Source organism: Homo sapiens, chromosome 21, assembly GCF_000001405.40.
Source record: "Homo sapiens chromosome 21, GRCh38.p14 Primary Assembly".
In the NCBI taxonomy this organism is placed as follows: domain Eukaryota; kingdom Metazoa; phylum Chordata; class Mammalia; order Primates; family Hominidae; genus Homo; species Homo sapiens.
This window is the reverse complement of record NC_000021.9, coordinates 29,169,642-29,195,218: the sequence shown is the minus strand read 5'-3', so window position 1 is coordinate 29,195,218 and position 25,577 is coordinate 29,169,642. Positions and strand designations below refer to the sequence as shown.

General features: G+C 39.6%; 1 protein-coding gene, 2 long non-coding RNA genes and 1 other non-coding gene across 19 annotated transcripts in view, besides 2 other annotated features; 1 reads left to right on the top strand and 3 right to left on the bottom strand.

Annotated features, from left to right (window-relative positions):
* The window catches only part of LINC00189 (long intergenic non-protein coding RNA 189), a 94,712-nt gene extending 92,987 nt beyond the window's left edge, over positions 1 to 1,725 (bottom strand). Inside the window, exon 1 of the long non-coding RNA NR_027072.2 lies at positions 959 to 1,725. This is a non-coding gene — a long non-coding RNA (long intergenic non-protein coding RNA 189). The remainder of the gene's footprint in view (positions 1 to 958) is intronic.
* Positions 1,726 to 10,416: 8,691 nt separating this feature from the next.
* On the bottom strand, positions 10,417 to 17,124 carry LOC105372767 (uncharacterized). Its single transcript, XR_007067837.1, has 3 exons — positions 16,257 to 17,124; positions 14,538 to 14,756; positions 10,417 to 13,319 (listed from the first exon to the last, which is right to left on the bottom strand). It is a non-coding gene; the product is annotated as an uncharacterized LOC105372767 (long non-coding RNA).
* Positions 11,015 to 11,104: an enhancer, noted in NCBI's record as "active region_18341". NCBI's record gives its function as "activates an Ori minimal core promoter by ATAC-STARR-seq in GM12878 lymphoblastoid cells {active_cell/tissue: GM12878}" and the evidence as "EXISTENCE:reporter gene assay evidence [ECO:0000049][PMID:35858748]".
* Positions 12,980 to 13,069: an enhancer, noted in NCBI's record as "active region_18340". NCBI's record gives its function as "activates an Ori minimal core promoter by ATAC-STARR-seq in GM12878 lymphoblastoid cells {active_cell/tissue: GM12878}" and the evidence as "EXISTENCE:reporter gene assay evidence [ECO:0000049][PMID:35858748]".
* LOC124905065 (small nucleolar RNA U3) lies at positions 14,580 to 14,794 on the top strand. The gene has a single exon (XR_007067941.1). It is a non-coding gene; the product is annotated as a small nucleolar RNA U3 (small nucleolar RNA).
* Positions 17,125 to 19,331: 2,207 nt separating the features above from the next.
* MAP3K7CL (MAP3K7 C-terminal like) overlaps positions 19,332 to 25,577 on the bottom strand; it is a 98,774-nt gene continuing 92,528 nt past the window's right edge. For all 16 annotated transcript variants that reach the window (XM_047440930.1, NM_020152.4, NM_001371374.1 and 13 more), the window contains one exon: positions 19,332 to 20,507. In XM_047440930.1, coding sequence (XP_047296886.1) covers positions 20,327 to 20,507 — 181 coding nt within the window. In that variant the 3' untranslated portion in view covers positions 19,332 to 20,326. The remainder of the gene's footprint in view (positions 20,508 to 25,577) is intronic.

Below are 25,577 nucleotides of genomic sequence, written 5' to 3'. Positions count from 1 at the left end.
ATTTTGAGAAATTGCAGACACAGGAGAAGCTCTGAAAACAGAGTAAAAGTTACCCTTTTGTAAGAAAAATGTATATCTGTAAAGGAAATCTCCATTTGTAAGTGTCTTCCTCTCTGTACCAGGATGAGAAGGATGACTAAATCATTAGAGACTCAGTGGAGAAGGCACCAACTTAGATCTGCATAACAAACTTGACCTTTGCTTACTGTGTTTTCCTGGGCGTCTCACCATAACTGGCCTTCCCCTCACCCTTCTGTCTTTGTTTCAGTGGAAGATAGGATTTAAGCCTGAATTCAAAGCCATGTCTTTGAGATTTGCTCATTTCTCTAAGTTTCTCCCAGGTATACAGAAGATACACGTTATGAAACGTCCTTTTTTCCCTCGTTAATCAGTCTTTTGTTGCGGCGGTCTGCCCCAGCTAAAAGATATGCAGAGTAGAGAGAAATGTTTTCCCCCTACAGTCCCCAATACTTAATTTTATTCACTAATTTCTGGATCTTGATTTATTAATCATTGAAAAGGTGTCAGATGCACCAAAATCACCCTGGTAAAGAAAGAATACGTAGAGAAAAAAGGTGAAATGCTTTGTCTAGCTCATCCGTCTGGGTTATCTGTGCCTTTGTTTGCCTCTGATTGGGCTATTTCACAACTCTTTAGACACAGAAGTTACCTTGGAGAAAATTGATTGGAATGCAAATAATCTCTGTCCATGAAAATGCAAACTGGGTTTGTGTGGATATTGACCAGTTTTGCCAGTTTTGCATTTGTTTGTAAATTCATTTCACATTCCTTATTTAACCATAAATGTGTGGTTCTCTTTTGAACTCCTTGCAACATCTATTTATCACCTTATTAATTCCTGAGTTAAATCCGACACATTTATTTTATATTGTATGAAAGTTGTAATTTTATCCTCATTTAAAACGTATTCTTTAATGAATATAAACAGCAAACTTACGTGATTCATTGAGGAACACATCTGAAATTCAAACATGTTCCTTTCCTTGCAAGTTTTCTCTCCAAGGCCAGAATTGCATCCTTCCTGTGTCATCCAGATAGTCATTGTCAAAGAATCAGTCAATCAAAGATGGCTTTGTAAGCTTGCTGAATAAATAACAGAGTCCTGGACATTTTTGAATAGCTTCTTCTGTTCAACAAAAAACAACTTGCAAGGCTAGGCGCGATGGCTCACGTCTGTAATCTCAGCACTTTGGGAGGCTGAGGTGGGCGGATTGCTTCACCTCAAGAGTTCAAGACCAGCTGGGAACATGGTGAAACCCCAACTCTACTAAAAATACAAAATAAAAATTAAAATTAGCCGGGTGTGGTGGTGCATGCCTGTAGTCCCAGGTACTCGGGAAGCCGAGGTGGGAGGATCACTTGAGCCCGGGAGGCAGAGGTTGCGGAGAGCCGAGATTGCGCCACTGCACTCCAGCCTGGGCAACAAACCTGGGCGACAAAGTGAGACCCCGTCTCAAAAAAACAAACAAACAAAAAAACAAAACAACCTGCAAAGCTTCTAAGGCAACCTGTTGTTCCCAGTGGTTACTCCAATGTACTTGTGGTGAATCCACAGGCGTCTGCAGCAACTTCAATTCTTGCCTCCTCAGATGAAAGAATTCGACTGAGGGGCATAAAGCAGAAAAAAAGACTAAGGCAAGTTTCAGCACAGGAGTGGAAGTTTATTTAAAAGGCTTTAAAACAGGAAAGAAAGTTCACTTGTAAAAGACCCAAGAGGGTGCCTGAAGGTCAAAAAGAGAGCGTTTAACCTTGATCCTCGGGCTTTACAGGCTTGCCTCTTTCCCATAATTCCTCCCTTAGGGTGGGCTTCCCGCATGCGCAGTGCCCTCCTTACTTCTGGGAATTGAGCACACAGTGAGTTTAAGAAGTTGTATACAGCCGCGTCTGATCCTTCCTTCCCTTTTTTCCGATGGAGTGTCCCCAAAAGGTCATACTCCGCCAACTTGTCTTTTACGGTACATGCCCAGGAGGCTGCTTTCCCTGGCATCTGCATTCAATTAACACTTTAATGTTAACAGCTGTGGATCATCAGGAGATTGTCTCTCCCTGGCACAGGCTGCTGAATTATCATTGCTAGAGAGGCAGTGTGATAATTGTCAAACCATCCCCGGACATTCCTAGTGGGTGGGGGAAGAGCGCTCTCCTGCCCCACTCATGCCTATCTAACTACCTGTAACAATACGAATAAGTTGCCAACAGATCATAAGTAAGCATTACCAAAAGGAAAGTAAGATCTGTTTAGGGGGCTTCTTGGAGAGAAGATTTGCAAACAAAATTTGGTTTAAAAGGGGATGATAATATTAGTTCATCTCATCGGAGTGTATGCAAAACAAACTCTTCAATGTTTTTATTAAAATTTGGCTAATGTCTTTTGAGAAAGCAAAATTTTGAAAAATTTTGTTTTTAGTTTTTATTTTTACAATTGTATTTTAAAACTTATAGAAACACAACTGTTTAGCAGCTTTTCTCTAGAGAGTATGTTGCTAAAATTTTAGGCCTTTCTTTTTACTGAATTTAATTTTATGTAACTACAGACTTGAGTATTTTATAGCTATAATACCATTCCAGTTATGTAAGTAATATTTTATGTAATTGAAATAATTATGTGGGAGGAATTTAGTCAACTCAACTGTATAACCATTCATGTAGTTTATAGAATTATAAAAAAGTTTTAGACATATTTCTATGTGAATGTGTAGTGTCTTTGCAAAAACAGCACCAAACTATAATCATATAAGTAGCTGAAGGTTTTAATGATTTAATGAATATTTAATTATTTAATTTAAATTAATAAATAATGACCATCTAATAAATATGACTAATGATGTTTGTGGTAGCAAGTATAAGAATTTGTGTTTGTTGGCCGGGTGCGGTGGCTCACGCCTATAATCCCAGCACTTTGAGAGGCCGAGGTGGGCGGATCACCTGAGGTTGGGAGTTCGAGACAAGTCTGACCAACATGGAGAAACCCCGTCTCTGCTGAAAATACAAAATTAGCCGGGCATGGTGGTGCACACCTATAATCCCAGCTACTCGGGAGGCTGAGGCAGGAGAATCGCTTGAACCCAGGAGGTGGAGGTTGCGGTGAGCCAAGATGGTGCCATTGCACTCCAGTCTGGGCAACAAGAGCAAAACTCCATCTCAAAAAAAAAAAAAAAAAAAAAGAATTTGTGTTTGTCATCAATGTGATCAGTGTGGAACATTTAATAAAAGGTTACAGAAACCTAATGAGAGCTTATTAGGATGAAATACATGTGTTTTTAAAACTATTAATATTTATCTTACTTGTGAATATGTTTCATGCATTGCCTGTTATTAAACTTATTAGAAAATGAGATCATTGTCATCAATCACCACTCAAGCATCATCTCCTTCCAAAGCCACCCTTGATGTCCTCAAGACAGAATTAAATGCTCCCTCTTGTCTGTTCCCACAGTGTATCTGCCATAACTGCACCATAATTATTGTTTATCTGTGAGTACCTATCTATAGGTGTGGTAAATGGAAACAATATAGATGTTGAAGTCAAACCAGATTTGAATTTCAAAATAACCAATTGCTAGTTGAGTGATCATAGATGAGCAAATAAACATTGTGAAATTCAGCAAGATGCACATTAAAATCATCATAATATATACCATAGTATTATAGTATTGTTATGAAGATTAAGAGAAATAACATATGTTGCCACCTGGAACACAGTAGGTGCCCAACTTTATTATCTAAACATTTCCCCCTCTTCTTAGATTACAAATAAGCTATTTGTATCTGTTTTATTCTATATTTACTATATAATGCTAAACATATGTTATAACAGAAGAGAAAGACGAAAATTACAAATGCTGTAGAAGTTAGTAGCATTTCCCACACCATCACATCTTGTTTTGATAAGTCATCATTAGTTTTCACTTTTCCCTCAACTTTGCTGGACATGCTGTTTTGACACCAGTGTTTTTGAAAAAATGCAAACATTGAGCAATGTATGACCCTTGCAAAATGCTCCTGGTGTTTCTTCTTCACTATTTCCAGAGAGAAACTAATGTTCAAGCCTAATTAACTAGGTAAGGATGAAACATTTGCCCAGGCAGCAAGATCTAGTTCTGCTTGTTCACAAAACGTGGCCAAGGCGAAGGGGGCAGGGTGCCCAGGAGACTGAGGCTTTGGAACATATGGAGTCACCAGGCCCTGCCCAACCCTGTAGTTGGGTTTCTCACCACCCTTTCACACTCTGGCCAAACCAGATGTCAGCCAGTCTCTGATCCTGCCACAGTATCACCTTTTCATCTGAGGTTTCTTCTACCAGAACTGCACCCCCTCACATTTTGTCTTGTGATCTTTGCAACTCAACTCTGTTCCTATCTTTTCCGGAAAACATTTCCCAAATCATTTACCTTTCTCCAAGACCTCCATTCCATCCCTGAAAAAATGAAAAAACAAAAACAAAAGCAATCTCTTACAGCTCCAGTTCTTCTCACTGAGGGTTGCTAAAATATAGGCTATCCAATCAAATTTGAATTTTAATAAGCAATGAATAATTTTTAGTATTAGTATCTCCCAAATAGTCCATGAGATATATACATACTATTTGTTGCTTACCTGAAATTCAAATTTAACTGGGCATCCTGTATTTTTATTTGCTAAATATGGCAATCCTATTCTCTTGTCTTGTGTTGTAGTACTGTATTATGTCATGTGTCTTGTATTACACCATTATTCACAATTGTTAATAGACTACATGTTCTCTGAAGCCAGGAACAGTGTTCAATTTTTTGGTTTCACTACCACCTCTACCTCACCCTTCCTGATGCCTCCTTACTGAATACTCAGCACAGTGTCTTAAATGTTGTTGGGAGTACAGGAATCAAGTCCTCATTCATTCTTTCATTCCTTCTTTCACATAGCAAATATCTACTAAGCTTATAGTTTCTGGGGATACGACTTTAAACAAGAAATAGCTATTGTCATTGAGGAGCTCCCAGCTCATTCAGGAAAATAGACATGTCAGAAAGCGATTTCTTTTTTATTTTATTATTTATTTATTTATTTTGAGATGGAGCCTCGTTCTGTTGCCCAGGCTGGAGTGCAGTGGCGCGATCTCGGCTGGATGCAACCTCCGCCTCCTGAGTTCAAGTGATTCTCCTGACTCAGCCTCCCAAGTAGCTGGAACTACAGGCCCCCACCACCATGCCCAGCTAATTTTTGTATTTTTAGTAGAGACGAGGTTTCACCCTGTTGGTCAGGCCGGTCTCGAAATCCTGACCTCGTGATCTGCCTGCCTCGGCCTCCCAAAGTGCTGGGAATACAGGTGTGAGCCACCGCGCCCTACCAGAAAGCAATTTAAATCAGTGACATAGTTCTAGAGTAGGGTGACTTGAGAACACAGGAGAAAAGCACCAAGCCCAGTCTTTAGGGGTTAAAGGAGACTTCTGGGGAGGAAGTAACAGCAAGGCTGAGACCTAAGAGTTAATAGGAGTTATTAATAATAAGGTGATGGCAGAGAGCGAAGACATTCTACACAGAGATAATAGTTGGAAAAAAAAACACTTGAAATAAGAGAAAATGTGGCATTAATATTTGATTCATTAATCAAATCTTCCTTGTAGTTCAAGCTTGTTCTGACTCATGCATGCAATGTCTTTGAGGCCTCAAGCCTCTTCTTCACATTTTTTTCTCAAGGAATTCAACAATGACAATTCTTATTTCCCGTGCCACATCCACCTTCTCTGAGCTCTAGGCTGGGTTTTATCCCCCATCCTTGGTGTAGTCTAAACTACTTCTTCAAGAATTTAGAGCTGAATGTGACCAGCTGTCTCAGCCCACCTCACCCTTCTCCCATTCAGTCTCACTCTGTCTGCTCCATCCAGTATTCTACTGATTTTTTCCCTCAGTTTACTCCTTCCAACTCCTGTTGCCCCACTGAGGCTGATGTCTATGACCATAACTGCTTTCTGATCCACTTTTGAGTAATTCCACTCACTCAGTCTTCTGCATTTCCTACATAACCAAACCATATTCCACATAGTAGTGCTGACGGCATTCATAGGATTCCAACTTTAAAAGTGCAGTCACAAGAGAAAATACATCACATCTCTGACAAGGACTAAAAGTATAGGAAGAAACTCTCAGGTAAAATCCACTTAATAAAGCTGTTTCTAAATCAATGTCCTGCCAGGTGCGGTGGCTCACGCCTGTAATCCCAACACTTTGGTGGGCCAAGGTGGGTGGATCGCCTGAGGTCAGGAGTTCAAGACCAGCCTGACCAATATGGTGAAACCCTGTCTCTACTAAAAATACAAAATAATAGCTGGGCATGGTGGCGAGTGCCTGTAATCCCAGCTACTAGGGAAGCTGAGGCAGGAGACTCACTTGAACCGGGAGGCGGAGGTTGCAGTGAGCCAAGATAACGCCATTGCACTCCGGCCGGGGCAACAAGAGCAAAACTCCATTTCAAAAAAAATAATAAAAATAAAAATAAAATTACTACAATGTCCTTTGTAGTAATCAGCCATTTGTAGTCATCTTTGCAGTCCTAACCTGTGCCTAGCACAAAGCAACCACTTGATGCAAGAATTTACATCTAATTACATCTTTCGTTCTAATTAAACTTTGTTATAATTAATCTTAAGTTATGGCCACGTGTAGAATTAAACAAATGATGAACAGTAGCTAACTTTCTGTACCAAGCATGAAACCAGGAATTTTAAGTGCTATACAGAGTTTGTGACAATAGGATATCTGTGGTACCTTAATTTCATGTGTCAACTTGACTGGGCCATGGGGTCTCCAGGTATTCGGTCAAACATTATTGTGGGTGTTTCTTGGGAGTGTTGTTGAGTGAGACTGGCATTTAAACAGGCAGACCAAATAAAACAGATTGGCCTTTCCAGTGTGCGCAGGCCTCATCCAATCATTTGAAGGCCTGAATAAAACAAAAAGACTACTGTCCCCTAAGTAAGAGAGAATTCTTGCTGCCTGGCTACCTTCAAACTGGGACATCAGCTCCTCCTCAGTCTTGAGCCTGCCAACTGGGTCTCTAGCCAAGCTTGCTGACTCACCTCCAGATCTTTGAACTTGCCCACTTTCATAATCATGGGAGCCAATTCCTCACATGTAATTCCACTCACTCATCCTTCTGCACTTCCTACATAACCAAACCATATTCCATACAGGAAATTTATATACATCCTATTGATTTTGTTTCTCTGGAGAACCCTGACACCGATAATAGAGTATTCCAGGAAATAAAGCAATCAGAGGTTACTTTGATGAGAATACATGCCTTTAATTTGCCTTATAAGTCTTTTGTGATCCAGATATATGCCATCTCCCTTGGTAATTCGTCCATCTGTGCTACATGTGGATGACTTAATTCTTACAGGTCATTTTTTCATATTCAATCTCAGGACCTTTGAAGAATCCTCTCAACTTATGGATACTAATCCATCAGCTGCAAATAGCCACACAAATGTTCACCACATGCATATACAGGACTATGAAGCTTTGTACGATATGGAGTTGTATTAGGGTAAGTCAGAAAATAGGGAAAAGGGCTATGAGTGCTGATATTCAGAAATAAAAATGAAAAAAAACTAGGTTAAAGCCAATTAATACTTTCTCATCAGACCCTGTCATGTTTCATAGTGTTGTACACAAGTAAAGTTTTGGAAAAAAACAGAAGAGCTGGGGACTTGGGTGGGGAGGGGAGGAAGTAAGAGTTTTGTAAGGAATTCAGGGACATCAAAGTACTAAATGTATAACATTGAGCAGCGTCTGCATCCTAGCTGTGCTACCTGTGTAGTTACACAGAGTCCTGCACGCAGGAGGAGCCTGAATTGGCCTTAAAGCTCTGTCACTATCTTGAGATTCTTAATATTTTTTGCAAAAATGGACCCCAAATTTTCACACTGCACTGGGCCCCGCAAATTATGTAGTTGGTCTTGCCGCTAAGTAAAACTTTCTGAAGTAACCATTTAAAAGTCAAAAGTAAATGTTTATTCAACTTTCTACCTAATGATTAGTTTGATGTCCTGACAATAGCAAACCAAACTGAGGCTCCATACTCCCATGCTCTCCCTGCACATGGAAAGAACAGCTGGCAAGAAATGGCTGAGCAGTAACCATCAAGAGCTATGGATAAGTGGTTGTTGTACAGAACTTGAGAAGAGAGACAAGTTCCTATCATCAGTTCTTATAAGAGCTTGGATAGCTGCTTCTGAAATCAAGGACTAGACCTCTTATATTATAGTGACATCTGCCCCTAGATTGAAAATCCCCAATCTAGGAACTGAGGAAGGTAATTTGGCACTATTGTCAAAACTTTTCTTTATCATCCTTCACCTTTGACTCTGTCTAGTATAAGAAAAAGGAAATGCCAACCATTTGGGAGTTTATTACTTGCTATACAAAAGTAATCACCATTACTTCCATTCCAGGGATTAAGGTAGACCAAATATCCTATTTCCATGTTTTGCACGTGCACACACACACACACACACACACAATCATGTAAACACAAACATATATCAATGGACAAAGTGCTATTTATAGAGATACTGTATTTAAAATAATCTGGATAGATAGTAAAAATGAAGGAATTTGGAAATGATTAGTATCTTTCATAAACTTTCATCTGGTAGGACAGAGGAAGGCACTATACTCAATTTGATAAATGGAAGACATAAACTGCTAAAATGACAATACTTTTAATTGACTCCTGAAATAAAATACTGCACCAACATTATTGCTGACTCATAACTGCCCTCAATGACTTGAACTCCTCTCCTGCAGCAAAGTCTTTTAGCTCCACTCCTATACATTTCACCCCATATACTCACTCTCTTTCTTGCATACTAAGTTCCAGACAATAGGATTGTATTAGTCAGCATTGTCCAGAGAAACAGAACCAATAGATAGAGAGGTTATCAATGATAGATAGATAGATAGATAGATAGATAGATAGATAGATAGATATCAATATACAATAAGGAATTGACTCATGAGATTATGAAGGCTGACAGGTACCAAAATCTGCAGCCAGCAAGCAGGAGGCCCAGAAGAGCCATGGTGTAGTTCCAATCCAAAGGCTGGCAGGCTCAAGATCCAGGAAGAGACCAATATTTTAGTTTGAGACTGAAGGCAAAAAAGAGCCCATGTCTCAGGGTCAAGGCAGTCAGGCAGGAGGAGTTCTCTCTTACTTGTAGGAGGGTCAACCTTTTGTTCTCTTCAGGTCTTTAGTAGATTGGATGAGGCCCACCCACATTAGGATGGAAAATATGCTTTTTTCAGTCTGCCGATTCAATCGTTATCCGCATCCAAAAATACTCTCACAGACATATGCAGAATACTGGTTGACCAAATATCTGGGCATCCTGTGGCCCAGTCAACTTGATACATAAAATTAACCATTTCAAGCATGTAACTGAAAGCATCTTGTGCCAGCTTCCAGGACAGCCAGCCACCCCACTGCCTCAGCCACTTCTTTGTTCCTTCCTTCTCTGGTTGCCTGGAATATATATACCGCCATCTTGGACCATGAGATTGAGAAACATTGCTCAATAATGGCAAAGAAGTTTGAAGCCTTGGAGATTTGATGGAGAAGAGCCTCTATTTCAGCCCAGGACTACACATCCCAGTCTTTTGCATGAGAGAAAAGGAAACTTCCACCTTGTTTAAGGCACCGTTATTTGGCAGGTTTCTGTCCTTCACAAGCAATTCTAATCCTAATTCATGTACCTCCCTTTCACTCCCACTGCACACAACAGGGTAGAATTACAGACTGGACAACAAATTAGATAAAATACCTATGACCAGAAAGGGAGAAAATTGTGAAAATCCCATCCACTCTACAGGGAGGGTAATTTGTATCCTTGCAGTAATATTTGCACAGCCTTTCACAACATTACTTCATTTCTTTCCAAAAATAACCTTGAGAAGCAGACAGAGCTAATGTTTTTATCCTCATTTTTCTCTCTGAATAATCTAGGATTGTCCCTGCTTAGATGATAATTTAGTTTTAATTGATTCTTCATATTAAGCTTAGCAAAACCAGTATCAAGTGAACAATTTAATAGCTTATTAAATACAATGCTATTACTTTGCAAACATTTATAGAGAGCTTTAAAACATCTTTATAAATATAAATTTAGTCTTAAAGCAAGATTGAGGTAATAGTAAAATTTTACTTTGGTAATAGTAAAATTTTACTTTAACATAATAGACACCAAAATGACTTTTTAAAATTTAAACTGCATTTCAATGGAAACCTATGGTCACACTGAAACAGAAGAATATTGGGCTGTTTCTTTGTTGTGATGGTTTTCAAATAAAGCAAGGAAAAACACTATCATTGTTGTCACAATGCATGTTAGCATTAAGTCCCAGGAGAAATCCTAAAGCTGTGAGAACTATTTAACTTTATTTTAATCCACTGTTTTTTTAACTTCTTTGACTATGAAACAGTGTTTAGCTTGTTTTTTTGTTCATTTGTTTGGAAATACTTAACATTTCAAAAATTGGTGTTGAAAGAACAAGGTTTCAGGAATGCTATACCATATTCAAATTCTAATTCTAGTATCTTTAGTGAGAAGGAAGTGCCCTTAGAATTACCATATTTATAAAAATACGGGATGCCCAGTTAAAATTGAATTTCAAATGAACAACAACTCTTTAAGTACCTCCCATGCAATATTTGGGATATACTTATACTGAAAAAAAAAGTTTATCTAATTTCTGAAATTCAATTTTAACTGGATGCCTGTCTTTTCCCTGGCAACCCTACTGTCTTAGTCCATTTTGTCTTGCTATAACAGAATACATGAGACTGGGTAATTTACAAAGGAAAGAAGTGTATCTAGTCCACGGTTCTGCAGGGTGAGAAGTTCAAAAGTATGGCCATGGCTTCTGGTGAGGGCATTCTTCTGTGTCATAACATTGCAGGGCAGAGTAGGTCAAAGGGGAAGCAGACAAGTGAGAAGAGAGAGGATCAAACAGGAACAGGAACTTTGCTTTATAATAACTCACACTTTAGGGAACTAATCCATTCCCACAAGAACTAATGCAGTCTCATGAAAGCAAGAACTCACTACCTGGAAAACTGCATTATTCATAAGGCCATGCTCCTGGCCCAAACACCTCCCACTAGACCCCACCTCTCAACACCACCATATTCGTGATCAAATTTCAACATGAGTTTTGGTGGGGACAGACAAGCCGTATCCATAGGACCTACCTTTGATCCATTCCTAGGGAAGAACAGTTGCTGATCCTTCTGATTCAGATTTTCAGACATTTAATGGGGCTTTACCACTAGGCAAGATCCCATGATTAAAATCACAGGCCTGGCCGGGTGAGGTGGCTCACGCCTGTAATCCCAGCACTTTGGGAGGCTGAGGCGGGTGGATCATCTGAGGTCAGGAGTTCAAGACCAGCCTGGCCAACATGGTGAAACCCTGTCTCTGCTAGAAAAAAATACAAAAAATTAGCTGGGCGTGATGGTGCACGCCTGTAATCCCAGCTACTAGAGAGGCTGAGGCAGGAGAATTGCTTGAACCCAGGAGGCGGAGGTTGCAGTGAGCCAACACTGCGCCATTGCATTCAAGCCTGGGTGACAGAGCAAGACTCCATCTCCACACACACACAAAAAAAAAAACCACCGACCTGGCCATCCTGCTTTCTTTTCTGAAGCATTTCCATCTCTTTCGTTTGTCAGTGGTCTGTGCCCGACACTATCCATGTTCCCCTGCAGATCCACTCTTCACCCATTCACCCTGCTCTGCACCCTGAAAGACTGGCTGTATGATGGACCCCAGCAACCAAGCTCCCTTGTTCTGTCGTTTGTAGTTGGGCTTGGCCAGTGGCAGCCACCAGGAGAGGATGGAAGGACAGAAGGAGAGAGAGATTTTCTGCTAAGCCCTAGGTCAGCTGTGGCCCGGCTCCCTCACCAAAGTGCAAGTTTGTGAGGAATGTCAGTGGTCCTTTGCTTGCCCTTGAAAGCCTAGAGAAGACTTCCCTGAAGCAGCCACCCCAAGGACCTCATCAACCCTTCTTATTTCCCTTAACTCTTCCTCTAACTTTATAATAATCCCTTCATTACTTTCTCTTTTTATCATGCCTTCTTAAGTGTGCTTCTCTTTCCTCCCAAGACCCTGATAATACAGTGTAAGACTGAGATGCAGGGTAAATGGAGATTCCCTACTTGAACCTTAATCCTGAATCTCAAACTCACTCCTAGTTTTGACAAACAGTCCTACTTGGGGAGTTTTAGTACTTGAGTAATAATAGAGGTCACTCGTTTCCCATTTCTAGATAGGCTAGTTAAAGATCAACAAAAGCCGTTCAGTAGGCTTAATATAAATTATTGTTGTTACCAGCATTTGTGTTATTTGGGGGTGGGGCTCAGCGTATTTAAGTGATGTCAACACTTATCTCTCTCCACTTTATAGAAAAGGAGATCATATAACCAAATCCATAGTTGCCCGCAGATCACAGTGACTCCATGGTGAACCTTGTGTCTTGTTGTCTTTTGTTTTTTGTTTTTTGGGTTTATTTGCCTGGGATCTGAGATCTGACCAGCACGTTCATATTGTTAGTTTCCAGAACTCATAAATCCCTAAGATTTGTTTGGCAAACTAGATGTTGTCAGAATACTTAGGGTGAGATACAATAACAATTTAAATGATAAACAAAAACAAACAGAAAAGAATTCATCCTAACTTACCCAGGACCAATTTCTTGCTGTTTTTTTCCCCAGCTATTTTTAAATAATCAAATCACTGTAGTAGCTATGGCATTTTAGAGATTGCAAGGTCTGTGAGTCATATCCTTATTTACAGGAATGATGGGAGAAAGTCAGCTTGTTCAGCATTTACTCCATTTATGAGAAATGTACAGGCAAATAAGAAGCTGGGGAAACGCTGTTTCGTGTATCATTTCACCGTGTCCTACAATCTCTTTCTCTTTCCCTTTTCAGGACTCAGACCTGGGAGAACAGCCACTGCCCAGACACGTTCAGCGACAGATAAAACAGTATAACATTTTGCAAAGGCAAATTCCTCCTCTTCTGCTGTAGAAAAACTTGGTTTCTTCTTCATACACACTGAGTCCTTCTGCTCATAATGCTGGTCCTAAACACCTTAATCCAAAAGCAGCCAATAAAAAGTTTTTAAAAGTCCAACTCCTTAGGGAAAAACTTTGTTTTCCAGTTTGTGTGACTCAGGTCATCAGCTCACGGTCATTGTCAGAGCCCCAGTCATCTACGTGTGTCAGCACCGCCCCTTTTATCTCTCTGTCTTCAGTACTGCCTGAGAAGTACACACAAAGGACTGAACAGAGACATTTTCAAAGTTTCAGAGAAAAATGAAAGGATATGATTTTAACACTGGAACCGAATACTCTCTTAAGCATAAATTTTTCTTCTAGGGAGCATTTGTTTGTAATTATGAGAAATTAAGGAATATATTCCCAGTGAATTAAAACATAGGAAATTAAAACTGGAAGGGTATTCAGGGAATCTAGAAGTTCATGCTATCAGCTTTGTGAGTGATTTCATCTCTCACTTTGTGCATTTCCCTTTCTATGTTCATGTTTGATGTGAGCTGCATTCCCAGCTCAGATTATTCTCATTCTTTAAAAATAAGAGGGGCTGGGCACAGTGGCTCACACCTGTAATCCCAGCACTTTGGGAGGCCGAGGCAGGCGGATCACCTGAGGTCGGGAGTTCGAGACCAGCCTGACCAACATGGAGAAACCCCGTCTCTACTAAAAATACAAAAAACTAACTGGGCATGGTGGTATATGTCTGTAATCCCAGCTACTCAGGAGGCTGAGACAGGAGAATTGCTTGAACCCGGGAGGGGGAGGTTGCAGTGAGCTGAGAACGCACCAGTGCAATCCAGCCTGGGCAATAGAGAGAGACTCCATCTCCATCTCAAATTAAAAATAATAATAATAATAAAATAATAATAATAGACCAGGTGTGGTGGCTCACGCCTGTAATTCCAGCACTTTCGAAGGATAAGGCAGGAGGATTGCTTGAGCCCAGGAGTTCAAGACCAGCCTGGGCCAACAAGAGAGACCCTCATCTCTACAAAATATTTTTTAAAATAACTGGGCCTCATGGTGCATTCCTGTAATCTGAGCTAGTTGGGAGGATAGCTAGAGCCCAGGAGATCGAGGCTGCAGAGAACCGTGATCACACGACTGCACTCCAGCCTGGGTGACAGAGCAAGACCCTGTCTCAATAGATAGATAGATAGATAGATAGATAGATAGATAGATAGATAGATAGATAAAAACAGAGAGGTGAAAAATATGGTTTTAAGGGTTCTGTTTAAGAATACTCTGTTCCAACATGGAGTTTGTCAACTCTAAAGTGGTAAAAAACAAGACAGATTGTAGACATTTTCATAAAAGGCAGGATTATTTGGTGTCACCAAATTAAATATGTTAATGGTCACAGCGGAGGCCGACTCAATCAGCCTTTTATTCTGCCAGGCTATTTGATACTGCTGAGGGCTTACCTATTTCCTGAGGAGAAAAATAGTCATTAAAATGACCTTATAAAGACGACGCTTGCAGGGATTGTTTCTATAGCTCACTACCAGATAAGTTTCTCCGAACATGTAGAGCACCAGAAACCACATGCAGCGGTGCAGCGCTCTCTCGGGAGCCTGACACTGGCTCTGGGTGCTGCTTCACTGCAACTTCCATTTGCCATTGAGAACTGTTCCGCTCTTCCTCTGGGAAAGTAAGAGAGAGAGGGTGCAATCTGAGGGGTTTCCCTTCTTGTAATACAAAATAATAACAACCACAGAGGACATCGCAAGTAAAATGTGTATAACAACCCCATCTAAAGAACCCTATCATCTTTCTACTATCTGTCTACCTAAATATGTATAGTATAAATAACCCTATATAGCACTCTAAGCAACTTAAGTTAGGTAACTTAGAAAACTCTTTTTTTTTTTTGAGACTGAGTCTCACTCTGTCGCACCCAGGCTGGAGTGCAGTGGCGTGATCTCGGCTCACTGCAACCTCCACCTTCTGGGTTCAAGTGATTCTCCCATCTCAGTCTCCCAAGTAGCTGGGATTACAGGCACGCCACCATGCCCTGCTACATTTTTTTTTTTTTTTTTTTTTAGTAGAGATGAGGTTTCACCACATTGGCCAGGCTGTTCTCGAACTCCTGACCTCAGGTGATCCGCCCACCTTGGCCTCATGAAGTGCTGGGATTACAGGTGTGAGCCACTGTACCCAGCCAGAAAACTCTTAAAAAACATGCTATTCTAGCAAAAAACATGTTACCCCTGTAATATGCTTAAAATTCTCCAATGGCTTCTCTTTGCTTTTAGGCCAACATTCTTAATGTGATCTTCAAGTTCTTGACCTATTCTACAACCTTACCTTATACTATACTACCTAATACTATATTCTCCCTACCCCTTCATGCTCAGCCATCCTGGCCTTTCTTCAGGTCTTTGAGCATGTCACAGGGCCTTTGCATGTGTTTTCACTCTGTCTAGGTTGTCTTCCTCCACCTGCCTTCTTTGCCTCTTTAGTTCTTACTCATCCATTAGATCTTAGCTCAGTAGACACTACACTAAGCAGCCATCCCAGACTCCCTATCTCAGTAAGATTCCGTGTTTGTTTGTTTGTTTGAGACAAAGTTTCACTCTTGTTGCCCAGGCTGGAGTGCAAACTCACTGCAAACTCTGCCTCCCGGATTCAACCGATTCTCCTGCCTCAGCCTCCCGAGTAGCTGGGATTACAGGTGCCCAACACCACGCCCGGCTAATTTTTGTATATTTAGTAGAGACAGGGTTTCACCATGTTGGCCAGGCTGGTCTTGAACTCCTGACCTCAGGTGATCCACCCGCCTCAGCCTCCCAAACTGCTGGGATTACAGGCGTGAGCCACCGCACCTGGCAAGATTCTGTTTTTAAGGTGCATTCATCAACTACATTTTGTCACTTATCTCATTTTTGTGGTTATCTTCATTACTTATTGCTGCAAAACAAATCACCCCAAACTTAGCAGCTTAAAACCAGTATTATTGCCTCAAAGTTCCTGAGAATCGGGAACCAGGGGCAGTTCAGCTGGGTGGTTCTGACTCAGAGACTTTCATGAGGCTGCACTCAAGATGTCAGCCAGACTGCAGCGTTTGAAGTCTTGCCTGGAGCTGGCAGATCTGCTTCCAAGTTCACTTACGTGGCTGTTGGCCGAAGGTGTCAGTTCCTTACCTGTGGGCTTCTCCGTGGCAGCTGGCTCACCCCAGGGCAAGTGATCCAAGAGACAGCAGGTGGGAAGGAAGCTCCAATGTCTTTCATGACCTAGACTTAGAAGTCAGATGTTGTCACTGCTGCTTGACTCTATTTGTTAAAAATATGTCTTTAAGTCCAACCCACACTAAATGGGAGAGAAATTAGGCTCTACCTCTTATGGAAATTTTTTGATATGTTTTAAAACTATCCCATTTGGGTATTTAGATAAATATCTACCTCCCTTACTAGACTAAGGGTTCCTTGAGAACCCAATAGAACCCTTGTTTCTAGTGTTCACTTTTGTGTCCCTGGTATCTTCCAGGATGCCTGGCAGAGCGTGGACATTCAATAAATATTGACTATATGAATTAATGAGTGAATGAAACTTTGCACTTGAATCCCAGCTCTGAGAACTTTCTACAAATTATACAACATTGGAGAAAAGGGACAATCACAGCTGTCTCTCAGGTGTTTAAAATAATACAGCCTATACAAAGCACCTAGTATAGTCTGGCACTGAAGGAGGTCATTAAATGTTCTTTCTCTTCCTCTTCCTTGCCTCAATCACACATGCAATCCATCTGAAGCCCTGTGGAGTCTACCTCCCATTATGTCTTTCCCATCCCTCTTAGTCTGTTACTCTCTTTCAAATGCTGCTGCTCTTAGACTTGCCTTGCACATGCTTTTCTATTAGCCTTGTATCAGTTCCCTGTGCCTCTATTCTCTAGGGCAATCTAGTGCAATCCATCCCTAAATGTGCTAGGACCACATTATCTTTGTCATTTTTGCATCTTCTATTGCTGTTGCTCGGCCCTGCACCAGCTAAGTGTATAATAAATTTTTGTTGAATTGAATTTCAGTTCCAGATCTCTTTTATTTAGCTCCTTACTTGCACTGAGTTAATCATACACTCAAACTCAGGTACCAGGATGAGAAAGAGAAACATGCCCTGCCCATATGAAAGGTTATACATTTTCTAGCTAGGTGTAACCACATTCTTTTCATGTCTACACAAAATAAATGGCCCATAAATGACAAATTCTTTAGTAGAGCAATTAAAGAATATAATGTGAGTTACATTTTATTTTAATTCTATCTCTAAAGCAAGCACCCTCACCCTAATGCTATAGTACTAATAACACCATAATACTTCTGTGCTCGTTTTTATGCTCTATAATATTGTCATTATTGCTAATAGCAAGAATATTGCAAATATATTTGAAGATAGAAAATTCTTAAATGGTCATTATATAGATAATATGCAGTGGTAAATAAGATTGGTGGAAATTTGTCAAATTATTGAAAAAAAAGAGACAGATAATATAAGAAATTCCACCTTCTCACATAAGATTTCTCTGACATGCTATAAAAGTAGATAATATTTTCATGTTCTAATTAACAAAAATCTTCTTACAACATATACACCTAGGGAAATGCTTGCTTTTGAGTCACAAATATATAACTTTTGGAAATAGTAAAAAGTCAAGCTAACACCAGCAAAGATAAGAAAACCATCAGTGACTCCTTAATGTAATAATAGTTGTGTTCAAATACTTTTACTTTGTTAAATTATTTTCATTCTGGTAAAGCAAAGAGATTTTGGAACCGTATTTCCCGGCTTCCCATTTTCTAGAAGGGACTGTGACTGCTTGAATTTTGTAAATATATGCAACTGTCTTCAGATGAGCAGTGTCCAAAAACTAATCTTTATATTTAAAGATGAGTAACTTACCTTTCTTCCTCCCATTCTGCTAACTTTGTATTTGTATTAACTTAGTGAACAATTCCTCCTTTATACTGGTGTTTATTAGCCTTATACTAAAAAGAGGAGGTGGGTTACTGAAACAGAAGGTTCTTCCAGAACAGTAGAGACTTTCACCTTCAGTCAAATGTTAAAGCAGCTTAAGGGTGAATAGGCTCACATAACATGAAAACTTTGAGGTCTATCAAAAAGCTTCATTTCACAAATGAGGAAATTGAAGATCAACATGCATAAGGGCCTCCCAGCTCTTATGCTCTTTTGCATCACGTGGCAAAAAAACCTGTGGCCCTGCACCATGCCTCCCTTCACATTTGCCCAAACTGTCCAGAGACTTGTCTATCCCAGGGCACATCAATCTCAGTGCTATTGTCACACTGAGGTGGACAACTCTGTTGCAGGCACTGTTCTGGGCAGGATGGTTAGCAGTATCCTGGACTCAGTCCTCTAGATACAAGTAGGACTCCCTCATGCTAGCTGTGGCAACAAAAACTATTTCCAGACATTGTCAAAGGTCCCCTGGGAGCAAAATCACGCCCATTTGAAAACCACTCATTTATCTGAGGTCATCTTGTTTTAATGAATTATTCCTTTTTTTCTGTTTTTGGGGCAAATATCTCAAGATACAAATGCATCACATTCAATATTGAAGTTCTGAGTTGTTTATATGTGAAATCACAGTCTTTCTAAGAAATGGGACTTCAGGCCAGGTGTGGTGGCCCACGCCTGGAGTCCCAGCACTTTGGGAGGCCGAGGTGGGCAGATCACCCAAGGTCAGGAGTTCCAGACCAGCCTGGCCAACATGGTGAAATCCCATCTCCACTAAAAATACAAAAATTAGCCAGATGTGGTGATGGGCGCCCGTAATCCCAGCTAATTGGGAGGCTGAGGCAGGAGAATCACTTGAACTCAGGAGGCAGTGGTTGCAGTGAGCTGAGATCTTGCCACAGCACTCCAGCCTGGGTGACGGAGCAAGGCTCTGTCAAAAAAAAAAAAAAAGAAAGAAAAAAAGAAAGAAAGAAGAGAGAGAGAGAGAGAGGAGAGAGAGAGAGAGAGAGAAAGAGAGAGAGAGAGAGAGAAAGAGAGAGAGAGAGAAAGAAAGAAAGGGAAAGAAAGAAAGAAAGGGAAAGAAAGAAAAGAAGGAAGAAAGAAAGAAAGAGAAAAAGAAAGAAAGGGGACTTCACTTCTTTTTTTTTGGCACATGCAAATACAGCTAAGAATCAGTTTCCGACTAGGGCTAGGTCATCGCAACATCTAGCACAAAGGAGGTTAAGAAAGGAGCAAACTAGAAACTGTCAGTTTTGATCCATGTTTAATGAAAAAGAAGTTACATGAATAGAAATGGACATATAACAAAGAGTTCAATTTGAGAAAATGTGGTGATAGGTAGAACAAGGAGAAATTGTTTCAATTCTGAATTTACTCGCATATTCCTATTAGCTGTTACTGATCTAAAACATCTCCTTAAATCCAAAACAAAACAATAGTTACAAGTTCACTGATGTTTTCATGGGCACTCACCCAAGTAATGTCCAAACAATATTTTTCCATGTCCCCCCTCCCCCAGAACACACACAGGCAAAGGCAGAGATGTTTACTGTGAGGTCACATGGCATGAAGCAAATGCAGCCTTATCTGTTTATTATTACAACAGCCAGTTAGCATTGGCAAATGTGCTTTGGTTACAAACATGGTTTCTGCTAATAATTTCATGAAGAAGCTTTTAGGATATGTGACCATTTATTCTTAGTATAATCAATCATTGAAGGATAAAAATCAGAGTATAAAAGTTTATACTCTGGCAAATATAAATACATGCACAGAAGTTTCTGACAGTTTAAATTTGAGCATATTTGAAATATTAAAGGCATGAAATTTAAAAATACACATACGTGAAACTATGGTGAACATGTTATGGGTTTGTCCCATGGTTTAACTCTGCTCAGCCCACGATTCTTAGCTGGGTCAGTCAATAGTCTATTTTTATCATTTTCTACCCTGTTGTACAGCATGATCATATCTTCCTAAAAAAGAAAAAAACATATATCTTTGGAAAAGAATTCTGATCTCCAAAAACATATACTAGTAATAGTTTCACGTTAATGATCTCATTTAAAATATCCCTTCTCTCAAGCTAGAAGCTGGCAAGCAGTAAACTCATTATAGACAGTTGTCATGTGGGTAATACAGAGAAGCAATAGATCTGACTCACTATTCATTTAAAATAAAAATCTTTTGGCCAGCACAGGGCAGTCATCAGCCTCGTATGCTCACACTGAAAAATTTAAAGTTAGGACGAGCCCTGCCTCTTCTGATACTGTATTCGAAGTTTCTCCAGTTGTTCCACACATTGAGACTGGGCCAACCTCAACGTCCGATTCTCCTCCGTCAGAGCCTCGAATTCCCGAACCAGCTCAGCAGCATCCACCTTCTCCTTTTCTGCCTGATCTAACTTGGCAATGAGCTCCTTCCTGAAGATTCGGGGTAAAGGGCAGGAAGAAGCACAGAATTCAATGCAAGCAAATTAAATTATTCAGTAATAGCATGATGGAAGTAGAATGATTCATTCTGCTGTTCTGAATTTTTTCCCATCTCTACTTGCCTCCAATGACTTTTATTTGTCCAGCTTTGCAAATTTTATATCCCTTTATTCTAGCACCTCGACTAGACACTTCCAAAATACTAACCATACACCAAAAGTCCCATAGGTTCTTTAGTAGTCAAAAACATGATCATTTTAAAAATACAGAAAATTGTAAAAATAATTTAGAAAAATATCTGTGTAAAATTTTTCATAATTTAAGATGCTGCCTATTGTCTTGTAGAGAGGACAACTATAGTTTTCTCTTGGCTGAGTCTTTGTCCCCCAAATTCAGTTGTTATCTTCCTTTGTTTCCTACATCTGAGTTGAACAAATCTCCAATAGACTTCTTTGAACTACAGAATCCCAACTCTGTCCTTGTAGATATTACCTCCTATGTCTTTCCCTAATCCTTACATATATATTGCAGCCCAAATTAACAAAACTGTGTCCACATTTGATGCTGACGTGACTCCAGAATTGAGGAAGCAGGCTGAAGCTACTGTAGGAAAATTGTAATGAAAACACTTTAAAGAAACTTAGTTCTTAGTTAATAGTTGTAAATAATTCATTGATTTAAATACACATTATAAGGAGCTAAAGGTTGGGCACAGTGGTTCATGTCTGTAATCCCAGCATTTTGGGATACCTAGGCAAATATCTCTTGAGTCCAGGAGTTTGAGACCATCCTCGGCAACATAGCGAGACAACATCTCTACAAAAAATTGGGAAATTAGCTGGGTATGATGGCTGACAACTGCAGTTCCAGCTACTCGGGAGGCTGTGGCAGGAGGATCACTTGAGCGTGGGAGGTTGAGGCTGCAGTGAGCTATGATTGTGCCACTGCACTCCAGCCTGGGCAAAAGAGTGAGATCCTGTCTCAAAAAAGGAAAGAAATAATGAGCTAAAGATCTTCAGTCCATGTGTAGATTTAATAAACATGATAACCCAAAGGATACCAGGTCTGTCTCCATCATGGAGGTCAGGTAATCCTAACCTAGACAAAATCTAACTGAATTCTCCTTTGCCTTACATTTCTTCCTCCTCTGTAGGGCAAAAAACAGTTGGTAAATGACCTTCAGATACATAGTTTTCTAGATGAGCTTTCCAAAGGGAAGGCTTTGTACTGCTGGTGTTAGCATTAGATGATTGTAGGTTGTACTGAAAGCTTCATTAGACTTTTGAATTAAATTAATGTGTATTTTTAAATATAAACCAACGCATCTAACATATGATTTCAAAGATCTTGTGCCCTAAAAGGAGGCTAATTAAAAGAAGATCTACATAAAGATGACTTACAAAAAAAGTTTGAGTCAATAATAATGTAGATGTGGAAGTATCTGGAACTTACTTCATGATCATTCACAGAAGTTGTACCCAAATGACCAAAGCTTAGGACACACTGCCACCAGTCTCAGTCCCAAGGCTTCTCCTCCTAGGTTCCCCCTACCCTGAAAAGCTCCTGATGTTTTACAGTTGTGTTCCTAGGAAACAGTTTTGAACCCCTGTTTTAAAGTAGTAATAACATTGCTTTAGCATAAAATACATGCAAATACTATCTTCCTTACATTCTTTCATCACTACAGTTGGCTACATTTCTAAAAGCCTCTCCTCTTCCTTCTTCCACTGATCAGATACTGATCTGACACTACATAATATGAAAAGAAGAAAGGAAAATACATATATTCCTGAAAAGCAATAATATTCAAGTTTATATTGGAAATAAGCCTGTGGCCACTGGGAACAAGGGGCGGGGGGAGGGGGGGGTTGCTCATCAAAACACAACCTGTAATGTTTCAATAATCCAGAGCTAGAAAACAGCCTGACCATCTCATTCAATTAGGTCTCCAAACATGTTTTATTATATAATACTATTGGTTAAAAAAAATTGAACACAAACCCAAACTACTTCTACGTATGTCTGCATATTCATTCATAAATTATATACCTGCCAATATATTACATACATTATAAAGCATACCCAAATATGGATATGTAACAGGATAAGACCGGATGCTAAACCTGGGGGGTGAAAGTCTGATAAGGAACAAAATATTTACATAACCTCAGTGTCTCCTACAAATTACTTAATTGAAAAGGGAAATGTGTGATGAAAACTGGAAGGCCACTTTCACCAAATGACCAAAGTTGACACTGCTAGTCATGAGATAAATAGACATCACATGCACTGTGAAACACACATCATTTCTGTGGTATTCCTGCCAAAAATGTACACTCTATATCTAATCATACAGACCAAATCAAATTCAGGGAAATTCTACAAAATTGTTAACCTGTATCTTTAAAAATGTTAAGAACTCCTCCGTATTTAAAGAAACCAAAAAAAAAAAAAAAAAAAAGAAAATGACAACACAGGCAATGTGCTATTCTGAACTGAAAAAAAAATAGTTTTGAAGAACATTATTGGGAAATTGATGCAATTTGAATATGGACTGTGAATTAAATAATAATAATATATCAATGCTAAATTTCTTGATTTTAATTATTATACCATGGTTAAATGAGAGAATGTTATTGTTTTAGACTATACTTACTGAAGTGTTTAGGGCAATGTGGAGCATGATGACACACATATATGCATACGTATACATACATGTATTTACACACATATATACATACACATATGTATATATGTATATGTGTGTGTATGAGAGAAAGAAAACCCCAGTACTGTCGTGGGAGGAAGAATAAGGCACAACTGGGGAAAGTTTAGTAACTGGTGAATCCAGTAAAGGATATATGGGAGTGTTGTTTTTTTTTTTTTTTTTTTTTTTGAGATGGAGTCTCACTCTGTCACCCAGACTGGAGTGCGGTGGCGTGATGTCGGCTCACTTCAACCTCTGCCTCCTGGGATCAAGCGATTCTCCTGCCTCAGCCTCGCGAGTAGCTGGGACTACAGGTGTGTGCGCCACACTTGGCTAATTTTTGTATTTTTAGTAGAGATGGGGTTTCACCATGTTGACTAAGCTGGTCCTGACCTCAGGTGATCCTCCCGCCTCAGCCTCCCAAAGTGCTGGGATTACAGGCGTGAACCACCACGCCCGGTTGGGAGTTCTCTATACTACTTTTGCAATTTTTCTCTAAGTTTGAAACTATCAAAATGCAGTTATCCTGAAAAAAAGACAAGGAGTAAATAAGGATAAAAGTTCTAGTATTTTCTTCCTGCACCCAATGGCCTGCCTTGGATACCCACTTTGGTGTCCACTGAGCAAAACCAGATGTTAGAAAGTGTCCAAAACTGGAAGATAAGGTACATCACTGATACGCATATAAACAAAGTTCCTTTGGGCTGTTACTGATTTTTGGATCTTCCATGCTGTTTAGAATAGAATAGGCTCACAATAAATACTTACTGAATAAATAATTGAAGAAAAAGGTAGCTCAGAGATACAGTAATTTATGTTTTAAAAATGAGGAAATAGAAACTGAAAGTGCTCCATTTAAAGGAAAAAGTCACACAGCTAATAAGAGTGAGCCAGAAATCAAGCCTATCTTCTGATTAAATGTTTAGAGTTTTGTGTCCCTAAGCATAGCTTAGGTAGTAAATGTCAATAATTAAATATTAATTAGTAAAATTCCTCATGTAATTATTTTTAAACATTAATGAGTAAAGCCTATATAAATTAAAAAAAAAAAAAAAAGAGGCAGGCACAGAGGCTCACACCTGTAATTCCAGCACTTTGAGAGGCCGAGGCGGGCAGATCACTTGAGGTCAGGAGTTTGAGACCAGCCTGGCCAACATGGTGAAACCCTGTATCTACCGAAAATACAAAAATTAGCGAGGCATGGTGGTGTGTGCCTGTAATCCCAGCTACTCGGGAGGCTGAGGCAGGAGAATCGCTGGAACCTGGGAGGTGGAGCTGCAGTGAGCCGAGATCACATCACTGCACTCCTGCCTGGGCGACAGAGTGAGACTCCATTCCAAAAAAAAAGAAAAAAAAAAGAGAAAGAGAGAGAGACATGCTTTAAATCCCCTATGCATCAAACAGATCATCTATTCCTGTTCTATTTTTCTCTTCAAATTACTTGTGTCATATAAATGATTTAGGTGGACTTTACTTTCAAATCACAGTCTGGGAGGTGGTGGTAATGGGGATAACAATGGCTATTTCCCTGGCTCCATATCTAACCTCATGTAAAACTCCTGAAGCTATCTGTCATTAATTTTGATTGTCAGAGATAAAAAATCACAAAATCATAGATTTTTACAATTTGAAAGAATAGTCTAAATTATCTAGTCTGATCTTGCATTGGAGAAAGTCAATAATAATTTCTTCTTTACTGGAACCCAGAAGACTCAGCGGATATGTTTCTAAATTAGTGTCATGTATTTGATAAGTAATTATACAGACATCCAATGAAAACTGTCAAAATGTCTATTGTTTCCTGTCCAGGACCTATTTATATAGACATATTTATGCTCATCCATTAGCAATTCATAATTAAACCTTGGCACATCAAGCTACAAAAACAATCTTATAAATAGATGATCTGAAGAACAAATCAATATGTATTATAGGCTAGAATGTGGTTCTGCCTTTGATTTATTGGTTCTATTTGTATCGTTTCCTTCAGTGTAATGTAATATGGGGGTAGAAGACCACAGTTAGAGAGATCTTATTTCTGCAGTCATGAATCTGTAACATAGCTTTCCACATGACGCCATTCAATAGCCTAAAAGGTCATAACTTTGGAGTCCACCATAGCTCATCTGTTGCCTCCATCCTAAGCCACATGCCTGGAAAGGTTTTTAGTTACTAAACAAATAGGGGAAGGGAAAGTCCAAGTCAATTGGTTAAGAAAACTTTCAAACTTTATGGAAATTAATTCCAAAATTAAGGAGATTCTTTACATTGCAGGAGTTTGAGACATGGATCCATCACTGGAATAAATATTTCTCTGTGCTGAGGAGACCACTACAAGGGATCTTGGCCCTTTC